Here is a 26206-nt window from a genome sequence, read left to right as displayed (position 1 = left end):
GTTTCACCATGTTGGCCAGGCTGGTCTCAAACTCCTGACCTTGTGATCCGCCTGCCTCGGCCTCCCAAAGTGCTGGGATTACAGGCGTGGGCCACCGCACCCACCTCCTTCTCATTTTTTTAACCTGCTATATCTCCCATATTTCCTTCCTTGGTCTATGGCTCAACCTGCCTCCCAGTATTCCATGCCAGAAACTTGGGACTCACCCTAGATTTCCTAGCACTCTCTTTTGCCATCCCTCATGCCCAAGTCTGATCACCTACTTCCCAGTTGTTTCTTCTCCTCGCCCACTGCCCTTCATCTCCACCGCCTCTCCTGGGTTCAAGCTGTCATCCCGTATCCCCTGGCCCACCGCAATGGCTCACTTCTCAGACTTCTATATTGGTTCTCAGTTCCTGTTTATCTCCCCTCTCTCCTGGGCCCAAATCAATCTTTCCAAATTATCAGATTGATTGCGGAACTCCTGTCTCCAAAATTCTTCCACAGTTCCCTGTGGTCTTACATAAATAGAAAGTCCTTTCCATGGCATACAAAGCCTGCCCCCTGCATTCCCTCCCTCCTTTTTCCTCTCTTTACTCCAGCACATGTGATACTGCTGTGAAAGGGAACTCTGGTTTCACAGACCCCATGCTTTGCACACATTGTTTCTTTATTTTTTTGAATGTCTCTCCTCTCCCAATACTTACGCTTGGCAATCCCCTACTCCCTTTTCCAGAATTCTCCTCTTCCTTCCTCACCCTTCCAGGTGGATTTTGGCACTCAGTGTACTGACTTCCTTTAGCTTTGTAAAATTTATGTTACTGAATGGTTCTGTCGGTCTCTCCAATGGCTTAAGAACAAAACTGTATTTTTTCTATCCCCTAGCCCAGAAGTGTGCCTGATATCTTTATATGACTACTTTTCTCTGCCATCATATTCTTTTGACATGGTCTGTACACTTCAAATTGGTTTCTTCTTTAATTTTCTTCTCTAATCTTATCCTCTCTTTTTTTTTTTGGATTTGATATTTTAATGGGGCATGTAATTCTCTGAGTATAGCTCAAGACACAGGTGATTTGATCCAAATCAGTTGACCCTTACAAGTGATTTGGGTCAAATCATTTATGTAAATATTTCAGATTTTTTAAATGCCGAGATTTTGCTACTTAATTAACATTGTGCATTGAGATACCAAAAACTGGTTTTGGTTTTGTTTTGTTTTGAGATGCGGGTCTCACTCCGTTGCCCAGGCTGGAGTGCAGTGGCGTGATCTTGGCACACTGCAACCTCCACCTCCTGGGTTCAGGCAATTCTCCCACCTCACCTTTCGAGTAGCTGGGACCACATGTGCGCACCACCACACCCAGCTAATTTTTGTATTTTTGGTAGATATGGGGGTTTCACCATGTTGCCCAGGCTGGTCTCGAACTCCTGAGCTCAGGCGATCCACCCACCTCGGTCTCCCAAAGTGCTGAGATTAAGCCACCGCACCTGGCCAAAAACTGGGGTTTCAATCACTGTATAGAGTGAGGATTAGGTGTCTGGACAAAGCCAGGGAGACAGGTGGTTCACCTTAGGGAGGGACTCACTGTCCAGGATTGGGCTAGGACCAGGGATGGGGTGAATCTTAGGAGAGGAACAGAGGTCAGAAATGGGAGGGGGTTGGGGATGAGTCTAACCTTATTCTTGTCTTGATGTTTCTCTTTTGATTATTGAATACATTTATTTCTTTTATATTAACAGGCTCATAGTGGAATTTCAAGATATGCTTCCCAATTTTTAGTATTACAGATTGTTAAAGAGGATAAAATTACAGTGAATACTTCTCCAGTCACTTTCTTGTCTGTTGAATAAACACTTATTTCTGTGCCAGACACTATGATTAACACCATGGTGGAGGTACAAGCATATGTCAGGCACAGATTGTGATCTCGGAGGCTTGAGGATCTAGAGAGGGGGCACACATGGACAGAAGTTATGATCAGGGGCATTACGAAAGTGTTGTGAGAGAGGTAAAAACAAGGTGACTCATAGAACCGAGCTGTGCCTAGCCGCACAAGCAGGGATGCACTGGGCAGAGAGAAGAAGGAGAATGCTGCACACAGAGAAAATGGCACTGAAGAAGGCAGGGAGGCATGGAAAATCAGGAATGCTCAGAGGATGGTGAGGTCTTCAAGTTGGGATTAAAGTATATATTTGTTCATTCTTTCACTCAAAACCATTTTGAAGGGGAGAGAGGGACTATCATGTTCTGAACATCATAATGAAAGCTTCTGTGAAAGCCCATGTGACATAACCCAACACAGTCCTTCCTTGCTGGCCTTACACATTTTACTCGTTCTTTACTGAGTTCTTTTCTAAGTACAATGTAATGGTAAAGAGCATGGACTCTAGAGCCAGACCACTGGGATCAAATTCAACTCTTGAACTTTCTAACTGTGTGGTTTGGGGGTAAGTTATTTAATTTACTGTGTGTCTGTATCTTTAACTGTATGATAGAATAATAATAATGTCTGTGTTGTAGGGTTGTTATGAGAACTAAGTAAGTTAATAACAGGTAAAGTGCTTATTAACTGCCACATAGTATGCCCTCAATGAGTGTTAGCTGCTGTTATTATTTTCTTGGTAAGGGACCAAAAAGTGCCCTCTACTGAGGGATGCAATGATTCCTATTTCTGTCACTCCTCTCAAATTCATAAGCCACATACATTTTACCTACATATACCCATTTTGCAAAGAAAGGAAAGAAAGAGAGAAGGGAGAAAGGAAAGAAGGGCTGGAGAAAGGAAAGAAGGGCTGGAGAAAGGGAGGGGAAAAAGGCAGTGTAGGCCAGAAATCTGTATCATGAAATGAGAACTAGTTTAAATCCCATTTCTTCTATGACTTAGTCCATATTTTCTTAAATGAAAATTCTATAATATGCTTCTTACTCTGTATTATTCATTATTTTGGTAGATTAAAACTAGCTGTCTCTGGGCATACCACCCAAACCATTCAATGATATCTTTATTGATCAATTTACAATCTAATTTTTAAGAAGTATTTATTAAACACATACCGAAAGTACTCAAGGGAATACAAAGACACATATCTTCCTGCAAAGAGGTTAAAGAGCAGGAGATTTCAGTAGATACATTTAGAAATGTCAGTAATAGACCAATGAATCTTGAATGGGATCCAAGTCTGGACATTGCATTTATTCTTCTGTAGAATGAAAATAAATGCATGTCAGGTGATTAATGTCCCTAAAACAATTTGGGGGAGTGGATATTACACAAAAACTTTTCCACCAGCAGTTTTGCTAACAGATCTACTAGTCATAATAAGGATGCTGAAGAGTTGAAATAGTAACTGAAACCAAGCTGGGACTAAAATTAAAAAGAGAACCTCATCAGCTTCTGTGGTAATTTGTGGGGATTTCACAAGTCTGCAAGTTCACAGTTTTAGACCCTTGCCAATCTTTATCTCACCACAATATCTCATGTCTACTGGCTTCTTTTCAAACTTTGTTTCTAATCTCCAGTTCAGGAAACAGAGCATGTATATATTTATTTATCTTAGCACCCTTTAACTATTAATCATACAAAACTTGAAAGTATTCACCAAGCATTTAGGTAAAAAGATACTTCTTTACTACTAAATGCAACACAAAATATTTTATTATATTATTAAAACAGAAAAATACAAATTAAAATGTACAAATCTCACATTAACTTATTACTACGTACTTGAATTGGGAGAAAAAGAAAAAAAGCTACCATTAATCAATGAGTAGGAAAAAAATGCTGAAGTATCTAAAGCTGTATTTACACTTGAAATGTCAAGAAATACTCAAGACCCAAAACGTATTGCTTTCATGCATCTAAAGCAATGTGATGGGAGTAGGGGTTTGTTTTTTTTGTTGGTTTGTTTTGTTTTCTTTTTAAGATAAGTTCTCACTCTGTCACCCAGGCTGGAGTGAAGTGGTGCAATCTTGGCTCACTGCAACCTCTGCCTCCTGGATTCAAGTGATTCTCCCATCTCAGCCTTCTGAGTAGTTGGGACTACAGGCATGCGCCGCCACACCTTGCTAATTTTTGTATTTTTTGGTAGAGACAGGATTTCACTATGTTGCCCAGGCTGGTCTTGAACTCCTAACCTCAAGTGATCCACCCACCTCAGCCTCCCAAAGTGCTGGGATTACAGGTGTGAGCCACTGTGCCCAGCCCAAACATTTATTTTTTGACAACTAGAAAATTCCTCATGTCATCTAGATATATCCAGATCTCCATATCTTTGTTGTAACATAGGCCCTATCTGAAACATTCTAATGAATTCTTTATTAAGGACCATATTCACAGCAAGATGACTATAGATGCCATAAGCCTGACATCAGCAATATCTTACTTCATTGTGCTGTGGATCCTAAAATAAAATCACGCATTCTGTATTAACCCAAGAACTCTGGCTCTGATGTTATAGGAATGAAATGCAAGAGCAGAGTTCCTGTCCACACACTATAAATCTTGTCCTCAAATGCCTTGCTTTTTAAACTTTTTTCTCTTTATCTGATAAAGCCTATTTAAAGACATACAAATAATGAACCATGAATCTTTGTCCTTTCTCCAAATCGAAGATGGTGCAAGCTAATAAGTTCTACCTCACTCAGCAACTACAGGTTATAAACAGATTTAGCCCCTAGATGTATATTTTTTGTTAGGGCCATACAGGATTGGCTCTTACAAAGTTTCAAAAATTTTGAATTAATTGTGCAAATGTACAAATCTGAACCTTTACTTTAAAAATCCAGTTTTCTAGATTCTTGTGGAAAAATTGGTTCTGCTCATTTTAGGGCTGCATCCCCATGAGGCAACATTTGGATGGAGCTGAGCAGCAACTGACTGACTCCCAGTTCCCCAAAGTCCCTCCTACCTTCGGCTGTCTCCCCAAGTTGAGACCAAGTGACATTACCATTTACCATCCCACTATGTGCCTTTTCTCTTTCAGTAGATTTAAGAGGAAAGTGAACTATCACTTGTTCCAAACGGAGAAAGAATTGTTCTTTTTTTATTTTAAGAGATGAAGTCTCATTATGTTTCCCTGACTGGTCTCAGATTCCTGGGCTCAAGCAGTCCTTCTGCCTCAGCCTCCCAGAGTGCTGGGATTACAAGCATGAGGCACCATGCCTCGTCCAGAATTTTTCTTATTCCTAATTCATTTCACTCATTACATCATTATAATATCTTCCTGGTCCTGTAAACCAGGGGTCCCCAACCCCTGGGCCATGGCCTGGTCCATGGCCTGTTAGGAACCAAGCTGCCCGGCAGGAGGTGAATGCGGGTGAGGGAACATTACTGCCTGAGCTCTCCCTCCTGTCAGATGAGCTGCGGCGTTAGATTCTCACAGGACCACAAACCCTATTGTGAACTACACAAACAATGAATCTAAGTTATATGCTCCTTATGAAAATCGAATTACTGCCTGATGATCTGAGGTGGAACAGTTTCATCCCCAAACCATCTTCCCAACCCCCAGCCCCTGCCCTGTCTGTGGAAAAACAGTCTTCCACGAAATCTGTCCCTTGTGCCAAAAGTGTTAGGGATTGCTGCTGTAGACATCTGCACTTACAAGCCCTACCTCAGACTCACTGGGCTACCTACTGACACCACAGATGCAAAAGCTAAGGAGGATCTTTCAAAGTGCAGATCTTTGGAATGTTACTGTTTGTGGAGTGGACAAGGAAGAATGACAAGACAGTTACTATGCTTACTTAAGCCTTCTGACACATGTTTACTCTAAACGTAATTTCAAATTGCAAGACAAATTTCACCTCTTGCCTGAACAAGAAAGTAAATTTGGAGATTTCTGCAGCATTTGTCAAGCTTGGTTAGTCTAAGACATTAGTATTTATTTCCACTTGTAATATCCTCTAAATGTCTAGATTGCCTTCAAGTTTTAGAGTTTCCTCAGATTTCTGGTTTATTCTTTTATATTAATAGAAAAAGTTCTCAAAATCAGCAAAATAGTCATTAATGATTTCTAAAGAGCATGGGACTGGGTGCCAATGCCCCCTCAATACTTTACTTTGTAAAGATTTAGAGAAACTAGAATGTACGTTGGGCTACCTGAGAAAAAAATATGTACCTATTCGTGCTTAGAGGCAAACATTTTCAGATTCCACACACTATAGTGAGTATATAGTTTCACTCTCTCCCACTTCCTCTCTAGGTTGGTTTGGATTTGTTGACTACGAGTCACAGCTTACTTTTCCATGTCAGACTCAAGGAAATCACAGATATTCATCACGGTAGACCCTTTGGGATAATTTCCTGTAGGATAATTTCTAGCCCTTAGAATGAGTCACTTGTATAATTAGTGACTACACAAGTTGAACCGGTACTCTACTTTTGTTGTTGTTTATTACTCTAAAAAGGAAAACCAGAAACCAGGGAAGCGTTATTTACTGATCAGTGCAGCTGCGAGCCTTGGTCTCTAAGCACCTGGTTTCATCATCTTGGTCATTCACGTCTTCTGATAGTGTTTTTAGTCTACTCAGAGAAAACCGTAGCTCCAACAGAGAAAGAGGTTGTGCTAGTAGGCGACACAGAATATGTCCACTTTTCAAGGGGATTTTTTTACTTAGTTGCCAGTTTAACTACCTCATTCTATAAAGGAGAGCCCCAAGGCCAAAATGATAAGGTGATTTGCCTAAGTTGTAAATAGTGAGTTAGTAAAAGAAAGGAAAATATTCCATCATAGTGAGCTTCTATAGAATCCAGACTCATACTGGGGTCTCTAAGACATAAAAAGTATATGAGGCAGTAGGCTGATTTTGAACTAATGCATTTGCTTTAAAAACATCTGGGTCTTCTGACACGAAGCCACCCTTTGGCCATTTTGATACGGAGAAATGAAACAGCTATATGCTATCACCAGTCATGGAATTTCTTCTCACTGGTCTGATTTTGAGGGCACCTATTTTTTTTAATTTTGTAAAGATTATTTCAATCTGATCATCTCTCCTTGTCAAAAGATTTTTTTTTTTATTCATTCAGGAACTTGGTCTAAAATGATAGCAGGGATTTCAATAAAAAGCTCTAATCCCTGGCTGTTGGGTGCCGGGCATCTCAAGCAGGTCTGGATGTCTGTGAGATGGGTGAAGGTGACTTGGTGGAGGTAAGCTTGAGAAGGTGGAGCTGGGAACTCTAAATGGGTCTTGGCACAAACCATTGGTTCTCTGGCTCCAACACTTGGGTCCTGACACTGTTCATTTACTCCTGTCACATTGAATCCCACAGATTTTGCTGGTTTCTTTTAGCCACTCAAACCTTGGCTTCTCTTTTTAACTCTTCCAGAAAAGACTTTCAAGTACTCCTCTGCCCAGTCCAGACTCACTCTGACAGCACCACTAGGGACTCTGCCCCTGCTCTCCCAGGTGTTGGACCAGCTAGTCTGCATACCGCACCTCTCACTGTTGTTGTCCCCAGATTCTACCCACATCAGACAATGGCAGCTTTCTCAAGAAGGATAGGGATGGGATAAGTGGATTCGTCTGGAGCAAATGCTTCCCACATTGTCAGTTGTTTAGGGCTCAGGTAGCTCCAATTTTAGCCATGGGGAGATACTTACCTATTTTACTAAATGGATGATTGTGTCTAGGAGGATGCATGCCTCTTATTAATAGCTTGAAAGAAAATTCAAAGAGGCCCCTTGGTTCTGGTAGACAACCTGCCCAGTGAAATGAACACCTAAAGAAGAGGTACACACTCAGCATGATGGCACATCATTCTTCTGGATGACCTTTATACTTCACCCTGTCACTGCAGACTCATGAAGCCTGGGCAGAGCGAGCCAGGCGTGGTACTACTGGCTGACCTACTTCGGTGCACCAAGGCTCCCATACATGTCCCCAGAACATTTGCTCACTAGAATGTTCCCCTCCCCATCCTGATGCCTCCATGGATCGGTAAGCATGAGCACAGCTACATTACGGGCCAGGGCAGCTTCCAGGGTAGAGGCCTGTCTTAACAAGCTGGTATAACAAAACACCACAGACTGGATGGCTTAAATAACAGAAATTTATTTCTCACAGCTCTGGAGGCTGAGAAGTCCCTGTGAGGACTCTCTTTCTGGCTTGCAGATGGCCACCTTCTTCCTGTGTTCTCACATGGCACAGAAAGAGAAGCCTGGTGTCCCTTCCTCTTATAAGGACACCAGCCCTATCAGAAATTACAGCCCCACTCTTGTGACCTTGTTTAACCGTAATTACCTCCTTATAGGCTCTATCTTCAAACACAGTCATATTGGGGGTTAGAGCTTCAACATATGGATGCTGGGGGGTACAAAATTCAGTCCACATCTAGGCTCTCAACCAAGGACTGGAGATCTATACAATCCTGAAATCACACACAGAATTTTGTGTATTTGTGTCCATGGGCTTCTTTCTAGGATAAAGGCCCATAGCCTTCCTTGGGGGCTCGAAGCAGGTCTGTAATAAAAGTTTCATAACCTTTACTCAAACACACAAAGGTCAATTGCCCCAGAGGATTTCTGAAGAAGACAAAGGGAAATCAAAATTCCTGAGTTTCTACCACTCGATGTCATTTTTTATTACCTTAAAGCAAATGGACTTGCCCAATGCAAAAGGAGAGGAAAAATAACTTCACCTCCTGATTCTCACCATCAGTTGTTTGGAGTCACAAAAATTTAAGATACTGAAATTTTCATCTCCTCCCAAGATTCCATGAGCAACCTCAGGCTGAACATTCAATTCTGAAAACAGGTTTTCTCTTTTGCAGAAGTACCTATGATCCTGTCCAGGTCTAGAACTACTACTCCTGACTCCTGCCCATGAAGTTGCTTCCTACTCCACTTTGTTCACCCCCGTTACCCTTCAGCACCTTGGCCAGATGCCAGAAAGTCCATTGTGCCCTAGCCTAAGCCTCAGCCACGGGCTGCTGTGCTGTGCTGTCCACCAGCCTCACCTGGCACCTCTCAGTGCAGGGCAGCTGAGAGATGGCTGCGAGGCTGCATAGACAATTATATAATTCTAGCCACATCACAAAAACACTATCCAATGGTAGCTTTCAAATAAAACTTATAACAATGAGGACTGATGATATTTTGTTGGCTCACAAACCACAAGAGTTCAGATGCAAACGCAATGCAGTCTCCAGACTAAGGAAACTGATAATACATGCAATCTCTACACCATCTTGTGTGCAATTTTGTATGTAGTTAATGTCTTTCTCCACAGGATATTAAAAAGCAATTACCTTTGTCCTTTAAAATGATTTGGCAAATAATAGCATTATTTCTATGTTATAAATAAATAAGTTGGAATACAAAAAGATTAAGTATTAATACATTTCCAATTGATTAATCAATCTATCCATCAACCAGTAAGCAGTTATTAAACAGTATCTTGTTTCTTTTTTTTTTCTGGGTGACAATTAAGTTTTACTTTTTTTATTTTTAATTTTTTTGAGACACAGTCTCACTCTGTTGCCCCAGGCTGGAGTGTAGTGGCACGATCTCGGCTCACTGCAACCTCTGCCTCCCAGGTTCAAGTGAGTCTCCTGCCTCAGCCCCCCAAATAGCTGGGACAATAGGCAATGCACCACCACACCAGCTAATTTTTGTATTTTTAGTAGAGACGAGGTTTCCCTATGTTGGCCAGGCTGGTCTCAAACTCCCGGCCTCAAGCAATCCGCCTGCCTCGGCCTCCCAAAGTGCTGGGATTACAGGCATGAACCACCGTGCCTGCTCTAAATGTTATCTTTTAATCTAATAAAAGTGTAACTCTGACAACAAAAGCAGCTAACTCTTACCTTGTCACAGAAAAAAATGTATCTGTTTTAGGCCCAGTATCCAAATCATTCTTTACTGGCTCAACAAATACGTCTCTACCTTCCAGACATTATGCCAGGGCCTGGGTATCCGGCAGTGAACTAAACAGGCCAGATGAGAAACTCTATGTGTGGATCTTGAGTTGCAGTTACATATACAATTTGGAGCTCCAGGGAAAGATCTGAGATGCAATTTACAATTGGGATTTATCACCAGGTAAGCAGCATTTAGCGCCATGGCAATGGCTCAGATCGCTCTGGAAGAAAGTATAAAGAGGAAGGACAAGAGGACCCACTCTTAAGCCTTGGGCTTTCCAACATCTAGAGGTCAGAGAGGGGAGGAGGAGCAGCAAAGCATCTTGAGGAGCTCCTGTCAGAGAAAGAGAAGGAAAACTTAAAAGCACGCTGTGCCATGAGGCCAGGGATAGAATGGAAGCTGAAGCTGTCAATCATGTTGAATGCTACTGCAAAGTTAAATAAGAGGAGAAAGAGAAATGATCTGCTTTTTTAGAATTTAACACAAGGAGGTCACTGGTGACCTTGACAAAGGTAGTTTTACAGAACTGTGGGCAGAGGCTAGTTTGGTGTGAGTGCAAGAGTAAATGAGAGGTAAAGAAACAAAGAAAACGTGTGTAGAATATGAGCTCAACAAGTTTGTTTAGAATTGCAGTGAAGAGAAGTTGGCAGAGGTTGTGGCAAGCAAAGGATATTTTTAAAAGATGAGAGTTACTGAAGCAGACCGATGCACTGATGAGGAGAACATAGTAGAGGAAGCTGAAAACTCAGAAGGAAGAGAAGATAACCAAAGGGAAGAGAATGGGTTCCAGTTATAATATGAAAGAAGGAAGAAGAACATGGTTACAAACATGGATAATAGTTATAATTAGTAAAGGGAACATGAGAAAGAATCACATAAATCATAGAGATATACAGTCATCAGGTTGGCAGCAAGAGTGTATCAAATCAGCCTGCTCTGATGCCCTCAGTTCTCTTTTCCTGAGTTTTTGAAGATGAAAAAAGCCAGAAACAGAGAAATGAACTTCCCAAGTCCCAGGATCAACTGTCCCATGACTTATGACCTAAAGATCCCTTGTTCTGTCCTCATCAACAATCTGTCAACTGGGAGCAGTGGCTCACACCTGTAATCCCAGCACATGGGGAGGCTGAGGCAGGAGGAGTGCTTGAGCTCACAAGTTCAAGACCAGTCTGGCCAACATGGTGAAACCCCCTTCTCTACAAATGATACAAAAATTAGTTGGGTGTGGTGGTGCCTGCCTATAGTCCCAGCAACTTGGGAGGCAGAGAGGTCACAGTGAGCTGAGATTCCACCACTGCACTCCAGCCTGGGCAATAGAGCCAGATCTTGCCAAAAAAATAAAAAATAAAAATAAAACCCACAAAAGAAACAACAATGTGTCCCTCATTGCTTTGAATATTTTCTGCTGACTAAATATCAGTATCCTTGCCTGCCAACATTTGATCTTTTGGACACCAAAGAGTGCTGTCAGCCTGTGTTGTGAACCATTCAACTTGGCTTTTCATTCTGAAGGACTGGCCATTTGACATCTCATCTCCACCCTGACGCCGATGCAGCAGTATTTCTGCAAGTGTATTAGGCCATCATCACTTACTGCTCAGCAGCAGACAAGCAAAAATGTTGCATGTAACTCATCTAAAGTGTCTTTGAAGGCATGTTTGCGTGAGATTTTTAATTGTTTCACATAGATCAGGATTTCTCAACCTTGGTACTATTGACATATTTGGTTGGATAATTGATTGTCATGCAGGGCTGTCGTGAGCATTTTGGGATGTTTAGCAGCATCGTTGGTCTCTACTAACTAGATGCCAGTAATACTCCACTGCCACTCCCAGTAGAGACTACCAAAAATGTCCCCAGACATTGCCAAATGTCCTTCGGAAGGCAAAATCACTCTCAGTTGAGAACCACTGATATAGACTGATGCCATAACATCAAAATGGAAACCAGAAAAAAAAAAAATCGGTCAAACCCCTAAAATCTTTTCTAGTATCAGAATGTCTGTTTCTTGTGTAGGCAAATGCCTGGCTATTTGACTGAGTTTTTCAGTTTCCAAATGAATACTCGATATCTTCATCAACAAAAAACATTTGAATGAACATGTCTTTTAGACATCATCTCAACTTGATTTTTAATTCTTGAACCAATCAGCAAGATTTAACATGTCAGAATTTGACATAATTGAGAACATTTTAAAGCTTTCTAGGTCCAAATGTATTCCCCGCCTGACTAACTGGTGGATTTTGGCCCTTGTTTTATTCCTGTGTTAATCATTTTCAGTTGTGTTTTATTTTTGCTTTTTGTCATCAGCTGCTTTAATCCTCTTCTGGAGGAAGTCAGAGGATAAATATGAACACAGGCATTTTTTTTCCATTGTGTATGGAGAGTTCTTTTTTTGTGAGAGCATTTTACCTCCTTTCCTACGGCCCAGCTACTTGGTCCCATTGAGCCTTGAGCAATCTCACAATGACTTGATATAGAAAGCATTACCTTTTTACTAATAAAGCATCTTCTGTGTTCCATTATTACTATTCAGAGTTGTTAGAGGTAAGGAGTGATGCTCAGTGAGAAACTATTAGAAGTAATTTGTTCTAGTACCAGCTCTGTCAGTTACTGGCAAAAAGCTTGCATTTCTAGGTGTCAGTTTCTTTACATTCAAATTCAATTAACACTTATTGAGAGAAACGTGCTTTGCCAGGACAATACTTGATAGTTACTCAAAGGCTGTTTTGTAGTAGGATGTGGCTGCTCTGTATGGCAACAACTTTTGAAAATCAAGAGGTTCTCAGTTTCTTGCTTTCATAAATAATCGAGTAAGAATCAGCCATGAATTGTGTTAATCTTTCTTGAATCACGGCTTTTCCCATTGAGAAAATAAATGTATAAGTTTAATCTCTCTTGTGTGAAATATAAATTCTGCAATAACTAACTCTAGTTGGTAATATACATATATACGTGATGAAATGTTTAGGAATGAAGTGTACTGCTGTCTGCAACTATGTTGCCCAGGCTGGTCTCAGAATTCCCGAGCTCAAGTGATCCTCCTGCTTCAGCCTCTCAAAGCGCTAGAATTACAAGCATGAGCCACCATGGCTGGCATTAATGGCTTTCTTAAGGTGCAGCAATCAGAATTATTCCAAATGCTCTGAGTCTCAAAGTTTTGTTGTTTTCTGGAGATGAGGTCTCACTATGTTGCCCAAACTGGCTTCAAACTTCTGGACTCCAGCAATCCTCCTGCCTCAGCCTTCCAAGTAGCTAGGACTACAGGTGGAAATCTCAAACTTTTGTTTGAGGGTAATAGGAAGATATTTTTTGATTTGTTTCCTGTAGTCTCTGTATAATGCTGAACCAGGCTAACTGCTTTTCAAGGAATCCTTTCCCTATATAGGTTAATGGCATATTCATATGCTGATTATTCAAATTAAAACCTCCAAAACTTCTTTAACTCCCTCCTTTCCTGCACACCCAAATACAATTAATCTCAAGAACTATCAACTTTACCTTTTAAACATTTTGAAAATTCTTCCACCCTCTCTATTATCATTGTCTTTGTTCAAACCTATCTTTGAAGTCTTCTTTTGGTATTTGGTATTTTTCTTTCTCTGATCTGTCGTCCTTATTGCCTTCAGAAATTTTTTTCCAGAATGCAAATGTATTCATGTCATCCCTCTACTTGACAAACTACAATAATAGTTAAGAATTATTATTAATTATTTTGCATGTCTGAATGACGTTGTGAACTTTTTAAGAGAACTTATCTTTTAGAAACACATACTAAAATATTTACGGATGGAATGATGAAATATCTGGGATTTACTTCAAAGCTAATATGGGAAGGGGAGAACATCGGTAGGGATATATAAATTAAATAAGAATGACCATGAATTGAAAATTGTTAAAGTTAGATAATAAATGGGGGTTAATTATCATTTATTTTGTCTATTTTTATATATGGTTGAAATTTGCCATATATAAATCGGTTCTCAAAAATACCGACATGCTTCAGAAGGGCAAACACTACTGTTAACCACCCAGAACCACCTTATCTTTGCTCCTTTTCTCCCGTCCCTCTTCCAACATGTAATCTATGATTCAGCTCTATCAAGTTACACATTAGTCCTGGAATGCACTGTTTCAAATATAGTCTTTTTCTTCTTGAACAATGACTTTTTATCCTTTTATACCCAGCTTAAATGTCACCAACCCAAGGGAATCATCCCTGGTTCATCCTGATATAGTTAGTTATCTCCTTTCTCTGAATTCCCACAGAATATTTTGGAAACATTCTCTTTTACAGAATATACATTTATGTATTGTAAGATGATTATTGTAACCTTTTAAAAATATTGGTCTATTTAACTAAACAGTAAAATCCTATGGGATAAATTCTATATTCTTCATGTTTGTGCAATAAGCAGCACAAAGCATATGTTTAGAAATACCAAGTGAGGCCAGGAGCAGTGGCTCACAGCTGTAATCCCAACACTTTGGGAGGCCGAGGTGGGCAGATCACTTGAGGTCAGGAGTTCAAGACCAGCCTGGCCAATATGGCAAAACCCCATCTCTACTAAAACAAAATACAAAAATTAGCTGGGTTTGGTGGTGGGCACCTGTAATCCCAGTTACTCAGGAGGCTGAGGCAGGAGAATCGCTTGAACTAGGAGACAGAGGTAGCAGTGAGCCAAGATTGTGCCACTATACCCCAGACTAGGTGACAGAGTGAGACTCTCTCTCTCTCAAAAAAAAAAAAAATAAATAAAAGAAAGAAAGAAAAGAAAAGAAAAGAAATACCAAGTGAATCATCTTGTATGAAAATATGTTCTGGATGTTGTCCCTTACTTTTGTTACCTACATGGAAATCCTGTATTCTACTAGACTGTACTTCCTGAAGTTTTGGTTGAGAAAAATTTCTAAAACTGGCGATTAAAGCTCAAAACAATTTTCCAAATATATTAGCCTCTCTTCCACAAGTTAGATGTGAGATGGTGTTCCAAATAGTTGCAGAATTTTATGCATGACACATGTCTCAGCCATCTTTGTAGCTGAAAAAGACAAACCTTCAATTCTTACATAATAAATCCACCATCATTGGCTTAAGTCAACCAAAGTTCCCGCAAATTCCAAAGAGAGGTTGAAAGCAATATTCCTTCTAAAAACATAAAGAATTAAAATAGCACGAGATATTTTACACTGGTTCTGCTTCAAGGTCTGCTTGGCCCTTTTATCTATCTGTAATCATGGCCCCAAGAAACATTTCATGGGAATGAATATGATTGTCCCTCTTGGTGCCAATATTATGTCACTTCTTATAAAAACCAAATATATTTTAAAGCAAACTGTCACTGCTAGTTAATCAGCTAGTCCAACAGTCAAGATCTTTTTCATACCTGTCACCATCTGAGATAGCATAATGATTTTTGGGTGTTGCCAAAGGCTTAGCTCTGCAGTAGCACCCTGCCAAAGATGCAGGGCAGCACAGTTGAGAGAACACCTCAATAATAAAAACTGAGTGTGTTCTGGGTAGAAGCTAAAAGAAGACTGCAGGGTGCAATCACAAATCCAGAGTCCAGGGATATTTCTTTGTCCTACAGCATCCTTCTAATAGAAATGGGTATGTATTAGGCATGACAATGACATAATGTCAATTGCATGACAAGGACAGCAGAATCTCACCTCCACAGAATGGCTTCCCTTTTCATAGAGTTTTGTTGTTGTTTTGAGACAGAGTTTCACTCTTGTTGCCCAGGCTGGAGTGCAATGGCGCAATCTAGGCTCATCGCAACCTCTGCCTCCTGGGTTCAAGTGATTTTCCTGCCTCAGCCTTCCAAGTAGTTGGGATTATAGGCATGCACCACCACACTTGGCTAATTTTGTATTTTTAGTAGAGACTGGGTTTCTCCTTGTTGGTCAGGCTGTTCTCAAACTCCCGACCTCAGGTGATCCACCTGCCTCAGCCTCCCAAAGTGCTGGGATTACAGGTGTGAGCCACTGCACCCGGCCAAGGGCATCAGTTTTAACACAGACATAGTGAGAGACAGTGTGATTGGATGAAAAAGGCACCTACTTTGTTTCCAGGCAGACTAGGACTAGACTCTTACTCACTGGCTTGTGACCTTCTACAAGGTATATGACTTCTCTAAAATTTATTTTTCTCTTCTGCAAGAGTGCTAATCTGTCTACCTCTGAGTGATGTGAAAATAAGCGTTATTTTATTTCCTCTCTCAATAGCAGACACAATTTAAATGCCTAGAAGAGAAGGAAAGTAGAAAGAGATGGATTAATTTCAGAATCAAGAGTGACTGGGGAGAGAAATGGATTACAGAGAAATCTCCAGCACCACCATTCAGACTGGGTGCTGTCCTTACCATAAAAAAAAAAAATGATCTCTAAAGCATCGTGTCAACTCATATGATTTTGAACGGCAAGCATTCCATGCATAAGTGGAATACTTTCTACTTTTAAAAAACAGAACTGAAAGCTGAGCAGAATTCAAAGTTCAGTCAAATTGAACTCATGGTATGAGTTTTCCAGAACCAAATATGGAGATTATACCCAATTCTTATTTAAAACTGTTTAAAATTCTTGAGTAGTTTATGAGCTCCAGAAATCTATATTAACTTGAGACTTGAAGAGATTCATCCCTGATAGTCACAAGCAAGTTGTTAGAGTGTGGCCAGAAAAGGACATTTCTTCTTTACTCCTTTCATTCCAGGTCTAGGGAGTTCTGAAAAGCAACCCATGTGTGCACATTCCTAGGAAAGAATTCCTCCTGGTATCTTCCCAAAGTTAATTTAGGTAAAAGACTCCAAGGAAACTTGGTTCAGCCAAATTTGAATTGCTGGATGGAGGGGAAATTTTTACTTTCTCAAAACAAAACAGAGAAGTGACTAAGCCAATTTTTTTTTTAATGGAGTCTGATTCCATCACAGATTGATCACCTCTCTGTCTGAGTTCTTCCATAGCTTGTCGCTCCTCCTTTTGGTCAATTCATTAACTATTAAGGTCTCTAGCATAGTACAAACACCCCAGATGGGAAAAGGACAAGCAATTAAAACTGCATACATACACTCAAATGTGGTTATTTGTCTGTGATTTTGAAACAATTCAACAACAGAAAAGTAGTGACTAGGCCGGGCGCAGTGGCTCACACCTGTAATCCCAGCACTTTGGGAGGCCGAGGCAGGCGGATCACTTAAGGTCAGGAATTCAAGACCAGCCTGATCAACATGGCAAAACCCCGTCTCTCCTAAAAATACAAAAATTAGCCAGGCATGGTGGCAGGTGCCTATAGTCGCAGCTACTCAGGAGGCTGAGGCAGGAGAATCACTTGAACCCGGGAGATGGAGGTGGCAGTGAGCTAAGATTGTGCCACTGCACTCCAGCCTGGGTGACAAAGTGAGAATCCGTCTCAAAAAAAAAAAAAAAAAAAATAGTGGCTAAAACATGCCTCTGGGATTAGATATGAATTTAATTTTTTTCCATATTTTTTCCCTATGTTACTAGTTCTCTGTCAAAGTTGCACCTGGAACATACTAAGAGTTGAAACTCTGAGAACACTTATAATACTTTAGCAAATCAACGGCATAATGATCTTTCCAAGGGGCTTAGAACCTATTGTGGGGTGGAGATCGATCCACCTGAACCAACAAAGATAAGGCAGCATTTGACAAATAGAGAAGACTTCAGGAAATAAAATTACCAATCTATTCAAATAGAAACTTAAAAGATGGGATATCTACAAGCACAGAAATCATTTATACATTGAGTTGAATTCTCCATTTACAATAGGGGCATCAAGGTTTCTATTACCCTACATTCTATAGACCATAATCCAGGAAGGTATACTTTTAACTTACTATTTCATATTCTTTTTTTTTTTTAATTATAGTTGTTCCCTTTTGTCCTCTTGAAAGGTGAAGAAATTTCTGATTATTACAGTAATCACTAAAGAAAAATGCTCAAGTCAGCTCAGACATTAAACATTTTTCAGAATATTTTTTAATTCAAAGAAGGCTACCTTTCACATTCATACTCAGAAAAAGTTACTTTAGAAAGAAACACTATAAGAGAGACTCTTGTCACAAAGCTGTCCACATGTTTTTCCCCTACCTCTAAGCCCTGGCCATGACAATATGCACTGTAAAATCATCAGGCAACATGCACTGCTATTTTTATGATCTTGGCAACATTCTGATGATGCTGTCATACAATGAACTGAATTGCCATATTGGGAAACTGACAGATAGTGAAGCGTCCCCATTATTCTAGCAAGTTAAGACTCTCTCAGTTGTGGGCAGATAATCGTGCAGAGGGAAATGATCACAGTGGACACTATTCATGGTAGTTAGAATGCACTATACCTCCACAGGAATAAAGGTGCTATACTCAGGCAGAACTTTCAAGAATGCCGATGGTTTTGTTGGGCAAGGAGCGTGCACACTGAAGAGCAGACTGCAGTTTTCATACCTCAGGAAACAACCAAATTGTCTCTAAAAGGTAACGTTACATCATGCCATAGTTGGTATAACTCCAACTTGACTATATGAGTCTTCAAGACAGAAAAATGATCACTAAGTTCCTTTAAAAACATTACCCTAAGCTGCGGCCCGGCACGGTGGCTCACGCCTCTAATCCAAGCACTTTGGGAGGCCCAGGCGGGCAGATCACGAGGTCAGGAAATCGAGACCATCCTGGCTAACACAGTGAAACCCTGTCTCTACTAAAAATACAAAAAAATTAGCCCGGCATGGTGGCGGGCGCCTATAGTCCCAGCTACTCGGGAGGCTGAGGCAGGAGAATGGCATGAACCTGGGAGGCGGAGCTTGCAGTGAGCCGAGATTGTGCCACTGCACTCCAGCCTGGGCGACAAAGCGAGACTCCATCTCAAAAAAAAAAAAAATATTACCCTAAGCTAGCCAGGCACAGTGGCTCATGCCTATAATCCCAGCACTTTGGGAAGCCAAGGTGGGTGGATCACCTGAGGTCAGGAGTTCGAGACCAGCCTGGCCAACATGGTGAAAACCCATCTCTACTAAAAACACAAAAATTAGCTGGGTGTGGTGGTGCACGCCTGTAGTCCCAGCTACTCAGGAGGCTGAGGCAAGAGAATCGCTTGAACCTGGGAGGCAGAGGTTGCAGTGAGCCAAGATTGTGCCACTGCACTCCAGCTTGGGTGACAGAGTGGGACTCTGTCTGAAAAAACAAACAAACAAAATTATCCTAAGCAAATACGGTGTCTGAAGACTAAGCTGACCCTGTTTCCAAAGTCAAATGTCCATAGGCTTTGGAAATATCATGAGTGGCATGTCGCAAATCGGTTATCCAGTCACTCTTTGCCTATCTGAAGAGAATACAAATTACACAACTTTTTATCACCAAAGATAATTCCACAGATTGTGTAAGTGCATGGTCATGAAATAGTTGAAATTGGTCTTTCTTTGAAAGATAGCATAACTAGGCCAGGCGCAGTGGCTCATGCCTGTAATCCCAGCACTTTGGGAGGCCGAGGTGGGTGGATCACCAGGTCAGGAGATCGAGACCATCCTGCTAACATGATGAAACCCCGTCTCTATTAAAAATACAAAAAAATTAGCCAGGCGTGGTGGTGGGCACCTGTAGTCCCAGCTACTCGGGAGGCTGAGGCAGAAGAATGGTGTGAACCCGGGAGGCGGAGCTTGCAGTGAGCCGAGATCGTGCCACTGCACTCCAGCCTGGGCGACAGAGTGAAACTCCATCTGAAAAACAAAAACAAAACAAAAGAAAGATAGCATAACCAACAGAAAAAGCCTGGCACTTGGAGTCAGTAGACAAGAGATATAGTTGAGCTCTGACAGTTACTTTTCCCATGACCATAGACAAGTCACTCATTTTCTCTCGTCCTCTATTTCCTCTTTGAAAACAATGGTGATGATACCCTCCCTCTTTCATGGGATTATGGCAAGGTACAAGAAAGTGCCTTATGCCGGCATATATAAATGCAGGGGTTCGACTTCTCAATACCAAAGATGAGCTCAAAGATCAAAGCACAGCGACTCTGCACACCACAGACTCTGAAGCTATAATAATCACTTGAAACAGCAAAAAAATCCAAAGACTTCAAATCCCATAGAGCAGTGGAAACATGACACAGGAGCTGTTAACTCCAGGGACTATAAGTGAGCAATCAATACCAAGGGAAAGGAGGATCCAGGAAAGTTAACTTTTTGGAAGCAGATGTCTTTGAAACACACAATTGGGCAAAAACAAAGAAACAAAATAGGCATTGTATCCCAGAATGTGTTTCCTTATTGTAAAAGGACCCCAAAACGAATCAAGCATTTTATTTTCTTTCAAATCAGCTCCAGAGTATGACTTGTGGACTCTGTCGTGATTCTGAGTCCACTTCACGTGTACCCATATAACACCCCCTGTACAAAGCCAATTTCTACAGAAGTGAGCAATTCCTAGCAAGGATTGGAGGCAATTCCCAGTGGTTTTGGTCTAGCAAACCACATCACTGACTACTACTGAGTTGGGCTTAGTTTTAGAGGCAGCAGGCAGGTGGAATTAAAGATTAAAAATTCTTCTTTCATGCGGGCTGGGCGCAGTGGCTCACGCCTGTAATCCCAGCACTTTGGGAGGCCGAGGCGGGTGGATCACCAGGTCAGGAGATCGAGAGCATCCTGGCTAACACAGTGAAACCCCGTCTCTACTAAAAATACAAAAAAATTAGCCGGGCATGGTGGCGGGCGCCTGTAGTCCCAGCTACTCAGGAGGCTGAGGCAGGAGAATGGTGTGAATCCTGGAGGCGGAGCTTGCAGTGAGCCGAGATCTCACCACTGCACTCCAGCCTGGGCGACAGAGCGAGACTGTCTCAAAAAAAAAAAAAAAAAAAATTCCTCTTTCATGCTATAAATAGCTTGATCTTCAAAATGTGTAATCTTGCCAGAACGACCTTGCAGAAACACTGATAACTTCCTCAGAAACATCCACACATGGCATACTTGCTTGATTTTCCTCCTGATTAATAAAAGGTTCCCTGTTGATTACATACTACCTGGTGCTCTTTCCCATTATCTCCAACCCTAATTTTGACACTTAACCTAAAGTGGAGGAATGTGGACAGCCAAATGACATTTTTAAAAGGATTCAGGAGGCAGGTTTCTTAAGGGCTCTGCAAGTCTGATGACCCAGAAAATCCACAGGTTTATGGCCCACCCGTGAGACAGTCAGAGCTTTAGATATGCAACTGGTGTGTGGAGAAGTAGGACTCAGGGTAAATGGCAGGTGCAGGCAGTGAAGAAAAGCATACCTCTCCTCCCTCACCACTGCCAGCTAGTCCCCTGCCCCGTGACCCACCCCTTACACCCACAGCTCAAAAAAACAGCGCAGAGTGGCAGAGTGCATGGTTTCTATTCATCAACAACCTACTCGGACAACCAACCTTCCAGGCTGAGCAAAGGGGATGGGTCTGATAATAGCTTTATCAACACTAAGCCAGCTATTTGGGGTGGGGCATGGGTGGAGTGGCTGTCCTCCAAAGGAAAGGAGTGACAGGAAAACTGGAGGGAAAGGCCAGAAGGGGCATGGGAGCCGTGTGCTGGAGGTTAATAACAAAGTTCCCGGTTGCTGTTCTTACCAACATCAAGACCGTCACTGAACTATTTTCAAAGAGAAAAACATGCCACCAGCCAGCGATCCTATAGAGAGAGCTTGGGCTTGGACTGTCACAGGGGGAAACCTAGCCCTTCCTGTCATGGAGAGCTCGAAAAGGGCATAACACACATTGTGTGTGTAATCATATTGTGCTGGAAATACTCTCATTTGCATGTTGTGAGTTTTTACATTTAAATGTGTGGGATTCCACTTTTATTTTTTAATGTATACAGGTTCTACAGTCAGATCCAGGTGTCCCTCCTGTCTGTGTTACATATGGTCAAGTAACTAAGGGTGTCCCTCCTGTCTGTGTTACGTATGGTCAAGAACCTCAGTTTCCTATCTATAGAACTGGAATAATAATATGTAACACATAGAGTTATTGTGAGGAGACTATGAAAATAAATACACTTGTTTAGCGCATCATTTGGCAGAGTAAGTGCACAATAAAAGTAAGGGATTGTTATTAGCGTTGAAATTATGATGGAAGCCTTGAGCTCTCTCTTCTGGCTCTGCACCGTAACTCCGATAAATTTGCTACAGTTTCCTCATCTTTGATACGAAAGAGTTAAATCGCACATTCTATCATTCCTATCCAGGTCAAAAAGTCTTTGAGTCAATGGATGTACTATCTGCAAGTAAAATCATTATTTTTTATTATTTTGCTATTAATATTTTGAAAAGGCATGGGTTTTTCAAAGGAGCCTGTTGGCTCTCAAAAATACAGCAGTTGGATAATTCAACTGCTCCCATTTAGACATTCCATTTTATTATGGGAGGCTCGATGATTCCGGAGACACAATTTCACCAGAGGGTTCTCTTCCACTATCAACCTGTGGAAAATCTGAAACTATACCAGGAACAAACTCCCTAAAGAATGACTCAGGAGGAACCCCCTCCCCCAGCAGTCAGACAGGGAAGTCACAGACCACATGGCCGCGGGCTGACCCAAGGACCTCACACAAATGCCATACCGAGGAACAGAGAAGTTGGGACTATTTTTCCTCATTGGCCACTCTACATTTTGTGGATTCTTCTACATTTGAAGGAAAAGAAGGTGGAGAACTTCTCAATGTCAGACTAGCCATTTGTTTAGACAGGGCATCCGAAACTGCTTCCATCAGAGAACATTGGTTGGTGCGGTACTCAAGACCCACTGTGCTGAGGGAAACTCGATCGCAGAAGTGCCGTGCCCTGGGTCATTTTTAATCCATTCTCCACAAACAACAAAGGATGGTAAGGGTGGGGAGAGAACAGTGTTCCCTCATGGCAGGGGGCAGAGGGCGAAAGAAAACCGTATAGCTTGAGCCTGTATGAGAATCCATTTGTCACACGAGGAAACAAGCGCACTCCAGGTTGTCCTAGGCTTATCACAAGCAAAACAACTATTTGGTGAGACTTCAAATAAAAACAGCCCCTCTCTGCCCACCCTCCTCAAGATCCACGCGATCTCCAGAAACAGGAACCTGTTTGGTTATCTCCCTGCAGCCTCTGATTCAAAGACCTGTCACTTTCAGAGCTTTACGTCATCAGTTTAGAGCTCTGCCCTCTCTCTTTTCCCCTTTTGCCTTTCCTCTGAAGCATTCTGTCTGGTGACTACCAAGGAAGGACAAAAGTCACCGAACAACAGCTCAGTTCCAGCATGGTGCCTGCTTTGCTGCTCGCCCAAGCGCAAGCACCATTACTGCTGAATGAACCTGAGAAGGAGCCGGTTCTCTCCGTAATTTGGATGCCAGGCCTCCCAGAGTTAATCATCAGCTGCAGGCAGCACTTTCCCAGTCAGGTCATAAACAAGGAAAAAACAGCCTGAGTATCACGAAAACACTAAAATAAGGAAGACCAGCGGCAACCGAACATTTTAAAGTAATGAAGGTGAAGGAAGACCAGGGGCAACTGAACATTTTAAAGTAATGAAGGTGAATTAGCTTGTTGGGGGGAAAAAAAGTCGCTATAAAATACAGCTTTCAATTAGTTGGAAACCATGCAAGAAATCTAAATATGATTTCTAATGTGAATCTAAATATTATTTTGTCAGTCTTCTATATTGCAGACAGTTCTACACAGTTAAATGAGATATTCTCAAAAATTGAATAGGAAAAATCAAATCAGCCATACAATAAATTCACAAGTTACTTTAAACAACTACGTTTTCAGGTTTCAGTGGTAGAAACAGATTAAAATCAAATCTAGTCATCAACTCACTTCAATGAAGTCTCTACTTCATAACCTGAACTTGACTTTGAACCTAAACACCATGGACTAGAAAAATCTTGAACACTGGGAAACAAACTTTCTGTTTCCTAGACAGGAATGAAGCCATATGCCCCATTCATCCTCAAAGTTACAAGACACGTTGCCGAAAATAACAGGTTCTAAAAAAGGGCTGTGAAAACACCAATGGCTGTTAACAGGTACAAATAAAATATCTCCTTCTATCGTGCCAGAGGGAAACCAAAATCAAAATCAAAAGTTGTTGGTGGCTTGCAACACACACACACACACACACACACACACACACACACACGGAGAGGGAATGAAAGAGAGAGAGAGAGAGGAAAGTTCTCCAGTTACTTACTAGGGTGGTTTTGTCGTGGTATTTTTCACATCAGCACTCTGCCTGTCCAGCTGCCAAGTGCCGGAGCACGCCGAGAGCAGCTGTTTCCTTCAAGCTGGGGCTCTGAGTCTTAACCAGTCACATGTACCTCCTGATAAATACCGCCCGCCACCGTGCCAGGAGGTCAGAAACTGAAGATCATTCTTCTCCTCACTCGCAAACCACCTCATAACCCCTGAGTTGGCTCAGCCATCTCATGAGCATGCAGAGCGGGATATTCCACAATTTGTTTTCCTTTAGTGACAAAAGCCAAACAGCTGATAAGTCACACTGAAGGGCAGGTCACTGCAAGTGGAAAGTTAAATGTGTTTGCGTGTGTGTGTGCGCAGAGGGGGAGACTGGCAGGCTCCATGCTCTCTCATCTCACTCAAGTTTCACTGGGGCTCTCGAACGGCAAGAGAGAGGATCACCAACTCGCACAGCAGGTGGAAGTTGCTCTGTGTTAACCCCGGAGTACAACTGTTTGGTTTCGTTTTCTCAGAATCTCAGGCTCCAGTTTGTTAGACGAGCCACAAGCCTGACTAGGTGGCTGGTGCTGGGGAAGGCAGACCCTCACTCACCATCTAAGAATGCTTAGGTTGGACTTCAAAGGCCGGGGCTGCTAAGCCAAGGGACGCTGAGGGGCAAATATGGGAGGGGTTAATGAAGACTATCAAAGGCAGCTTTATCTGAAGAGCTCTTGGAAGTGATTTCAGGTAGCTTTAGACCAAACTTCCGCATTGTTATCTGTTGAATTGCATCGAGCAGCTGAGATTATCAGCCGGCGAGTGTGAATGCAAACAGAAATTATCACCAAGTTGACAACGCGCTTTACAGACGCACTACTGCCCCCTTTGGTGTGCTGGGAACTTGGAGCAAACTGCCGTTTTCTGTGCTGCTCGCAAACGTGGCAAACCATCCCTGATGTTTTGTTGAATTCATATGTCTCACCTGAGCTGATGTTCCCACCCTTCCCTTTTCATCCTCCCTTCCAAGGAAAGCCCTTGAAGTATCTGACTTTACGTAGTGTCTGACCTTGGATGTCTGACTTCTTGGTATAGTAAGGGTGACACTTCCCCGAATCAGTGTCTGAGCCTGCCCTTCAGGTAGAGATATGACATAGAGGCAGCCTATTTGGCAAAGTGAACATCCAGAAAAGATGGTTGAAGTCCCCCAGGGGATTTCTGAACCATAATGTGCCTGTTAAACTATTAACCCTGATTTTTAACACATAATATCTTACTCAGTGTAAGAGCCTGTGTGAGTAATCTTTTATATTTAGGCTTTGTCTCATAATTATTTACAGTGTTAATCAAACCAGAAATTTCCCTCCATATAGAGGATACAGTGTTTTCTAGAATAAGAGAAAAAGACAAAAAACCCTCAGTCTCACCATACTATCAGGGCAGTAATTTGTTGTCAACTTGTGAGAGTCCGAAGAGCAAATGGGAGAATTTTGTAAGCACCAAAACAAATCCCTTCCTCAGCATTTCAAGTTAGTAATAGAAATAAACTTCAGATATAAAAATGCAATGCATAAAATACACATTTCCCTCACAGGCATTTTTGTTTATGTGTTGATGTGACAATCTTCAATTAGAAACAGAAAAAGAGGCCTACTGAGGATTTGAAACATTATTTTGATTTACTTACCCCCTTGTATTTACAGTAATAGAAACTTTTGTGATCTGATGGCATCCATCCATCACTTTGTTTACCATTGACTGGGTTAATTATTCTGATGATCCATTGCATGCCACATAAAGAAACAGGGACTTCTAGAAACTCTTCAATGCCCAACAGCGACAACAGCCTCAGGAAAGTTAAGTTGTATTAGTCCATTCTTGCATTGCTATAAATACTTGAGACTGGGTAATTTATAAAGAAAAGAGGTTTAATTGGTTCATGGTTCTGCAGGCTATGGAGGAAGCATGATACTGGCATCTGTTCGGCTTCTGGGGAGGCCTCGTGAAACTTACAATCATGGTGGAAGGCAAAGTGGGAGCAGATGAGTCACATGGCCAGAGCAGCAGCAAGACAGACAGGGGGCACTTCTAAATGACCAGCGCTTGCCAGAACTCACTATCAGCTGGGTGTTGTGGCTCATGCCTATAATCCCAGCACTTTGGGAGGCTG

At 41.7% G+C, this 26206-nt stretch overlaps 1 protein-coding gene across 15 annotated transcripts in view, besides 9 other annotated features; it reads right to left on the bottom strand.

Annotated features, from left to right (window-relative positions):
- Positions 1–26206, bottom strand: part of RASGRP3 (RAS guanyl releasing protein 3) — a 128384-nt gene that overhangs the window by 63972 nt on the left and 38206 nt on the right. For 4 of the 15 annotated variants that reach the window (NM_001139488.2, NM_001349981.2, NM_001349976.2 and 1 more), the window contains exon 1: positions 24053–24111. The exons of 6 other annotated variants lie outside the window; for them this stretch is intronic. The gene's annotated coding sequence lies outside the window, so the exon portion shown is untranslated. Of the gene's footprint in view, positions 1–7587; positions 8013–19455; positions 19578–24052; positions 24112–26206 lie in introns of those variants that run through there. 5 more of the 15 variants (NM_001349977.2, NM_001349980.2, NM_001349975.2 and 2 more) reach the window with 4 other exon arrangements.
- Positions 1350–1499: an enhancer, noted in NCBI's record as "active region_15569". NCBI's record gives its function as "activates an Ori minimal core promoter by ATAC-STARR-seq in GM12878 lymphoblastoid cells {active_cell/tissue: GM12878}" and the evidence as "EXISTENCE:reporter gene assay evidence [ECO:0000049][PMID:35858748]".
- Positions 2009–2268: an enhancer, noted in NCBI's record as "active region_15568". NCBI's record gives its function as "activates an Ori minimal core promoter by ATAC-STARR-seq in GM12878 lymphoblastoid cells {active_cell/tissue: GM12878}" and the evidence as "EXISTENCE:reporter gene assay evidence [ECO:0000049][PMID:35858748]".
- Positions 3269–3318: an enhancer, noted in NCBI's record as "active region_15567". NCBI's record gives its function as "activates an Ori minimal core promoter by ATAC-STARR-seq in GM12878 lymphoblastoid cells {active_cell/tissue: GM12878}" and the evidence as "EXISTENCE:reporter gene assay evidence [ECO:0000049][PMID:35858748]".
- Positions 5106–5255: an enhancer, noted in NCBI's record as "active region_15566". NCBI's record gives its function as "activates an Ori minimal core promoter by ATAC-STARR-seq in GM12878 lymphoblastoid cells {active_cell/tissue: GM12878}" and the evidence as "EXISTENCE:reporter gene assay evidence [ECO:0000049][PMID:35858748]".
- Positions 6246–6365: an enhancer, noted in NCBI's record as "active region_15565". NCBI's record gives its function as "activates an Ori minimal core promoter by ATAC-STARR-seq in GM12878 lymphoblastoid cells {active_cell/tissue: GM12878}" and the evidence as "EXISTENCE:reporter gene assay evidence [ECO:0000049][PMID:35858748]".
- Positions 12111–12160: an enhancer, noted in NCBI's record as "active region_15564". NCBI's record gives its function as "activates an Ori minimal core promoter by ATAC-STARR-seq in GM12878 lymphoblastoid cells {active_cell/tissue: GM12878}" and the evidence as "EXISTENCE:reporter gene assay evidence [ECO:0000049][PMID:35858748]".
- Positions 15932–16021: a silencer, noted in NCBI's record as "silent region_11347". NCBI's record gives its function as "represses an Ori minimal core promoter by ATAC-STARR-seq in GM12878 lymphoblastoid cells {active_cell/tissue: GM12878}" and the evidence as "EXISTENCE:reporter gene assay evidence [ECO:0000049][PMID:35858748]".
- Positions 20826–20995: an enhancer, noted in NCBI's record as "active region_15563". NCBI's record gives its function as "activates an Ori minimal core promoter by ATAC-STARR-seq in GM12878 lymphoblastoid cells {active_cell/tissue: GM12878}" and the evidence as "EXISTENCE:reporter gene assay evidence [ECO:0000049][PMID:35858748]".
- Positions 24456–24775: an enhancer, noted in NCBI's record as "active region_15562". NCBI's record gives its function as "activates an Ori minimal core promoter by ATAC-STARR-seq in GM12878 lymphoblastoid cells {active_cell/tissue: GM12878}" and the evidence as "EXISTENCE:reporter gene assay evidence [ECO:0000049][PMID:35858748]".

Source organism: Homo sapiens, chromosome 2 (genome assembly GCF_000001405.40).
Source record: "Homo sapiens chromosome 2, GRCh38.p14 Primary Assembly".
Taxonomy (NCBI): domain Eukaryota; kingdom Metazoa; phylum Chordata; class Mammalia; order Primates; family Hominidae; genus Homo; species Homo sapiens.
This window is presented reverse-complemented; position numbering and strand designations above follow the sequence as displayed.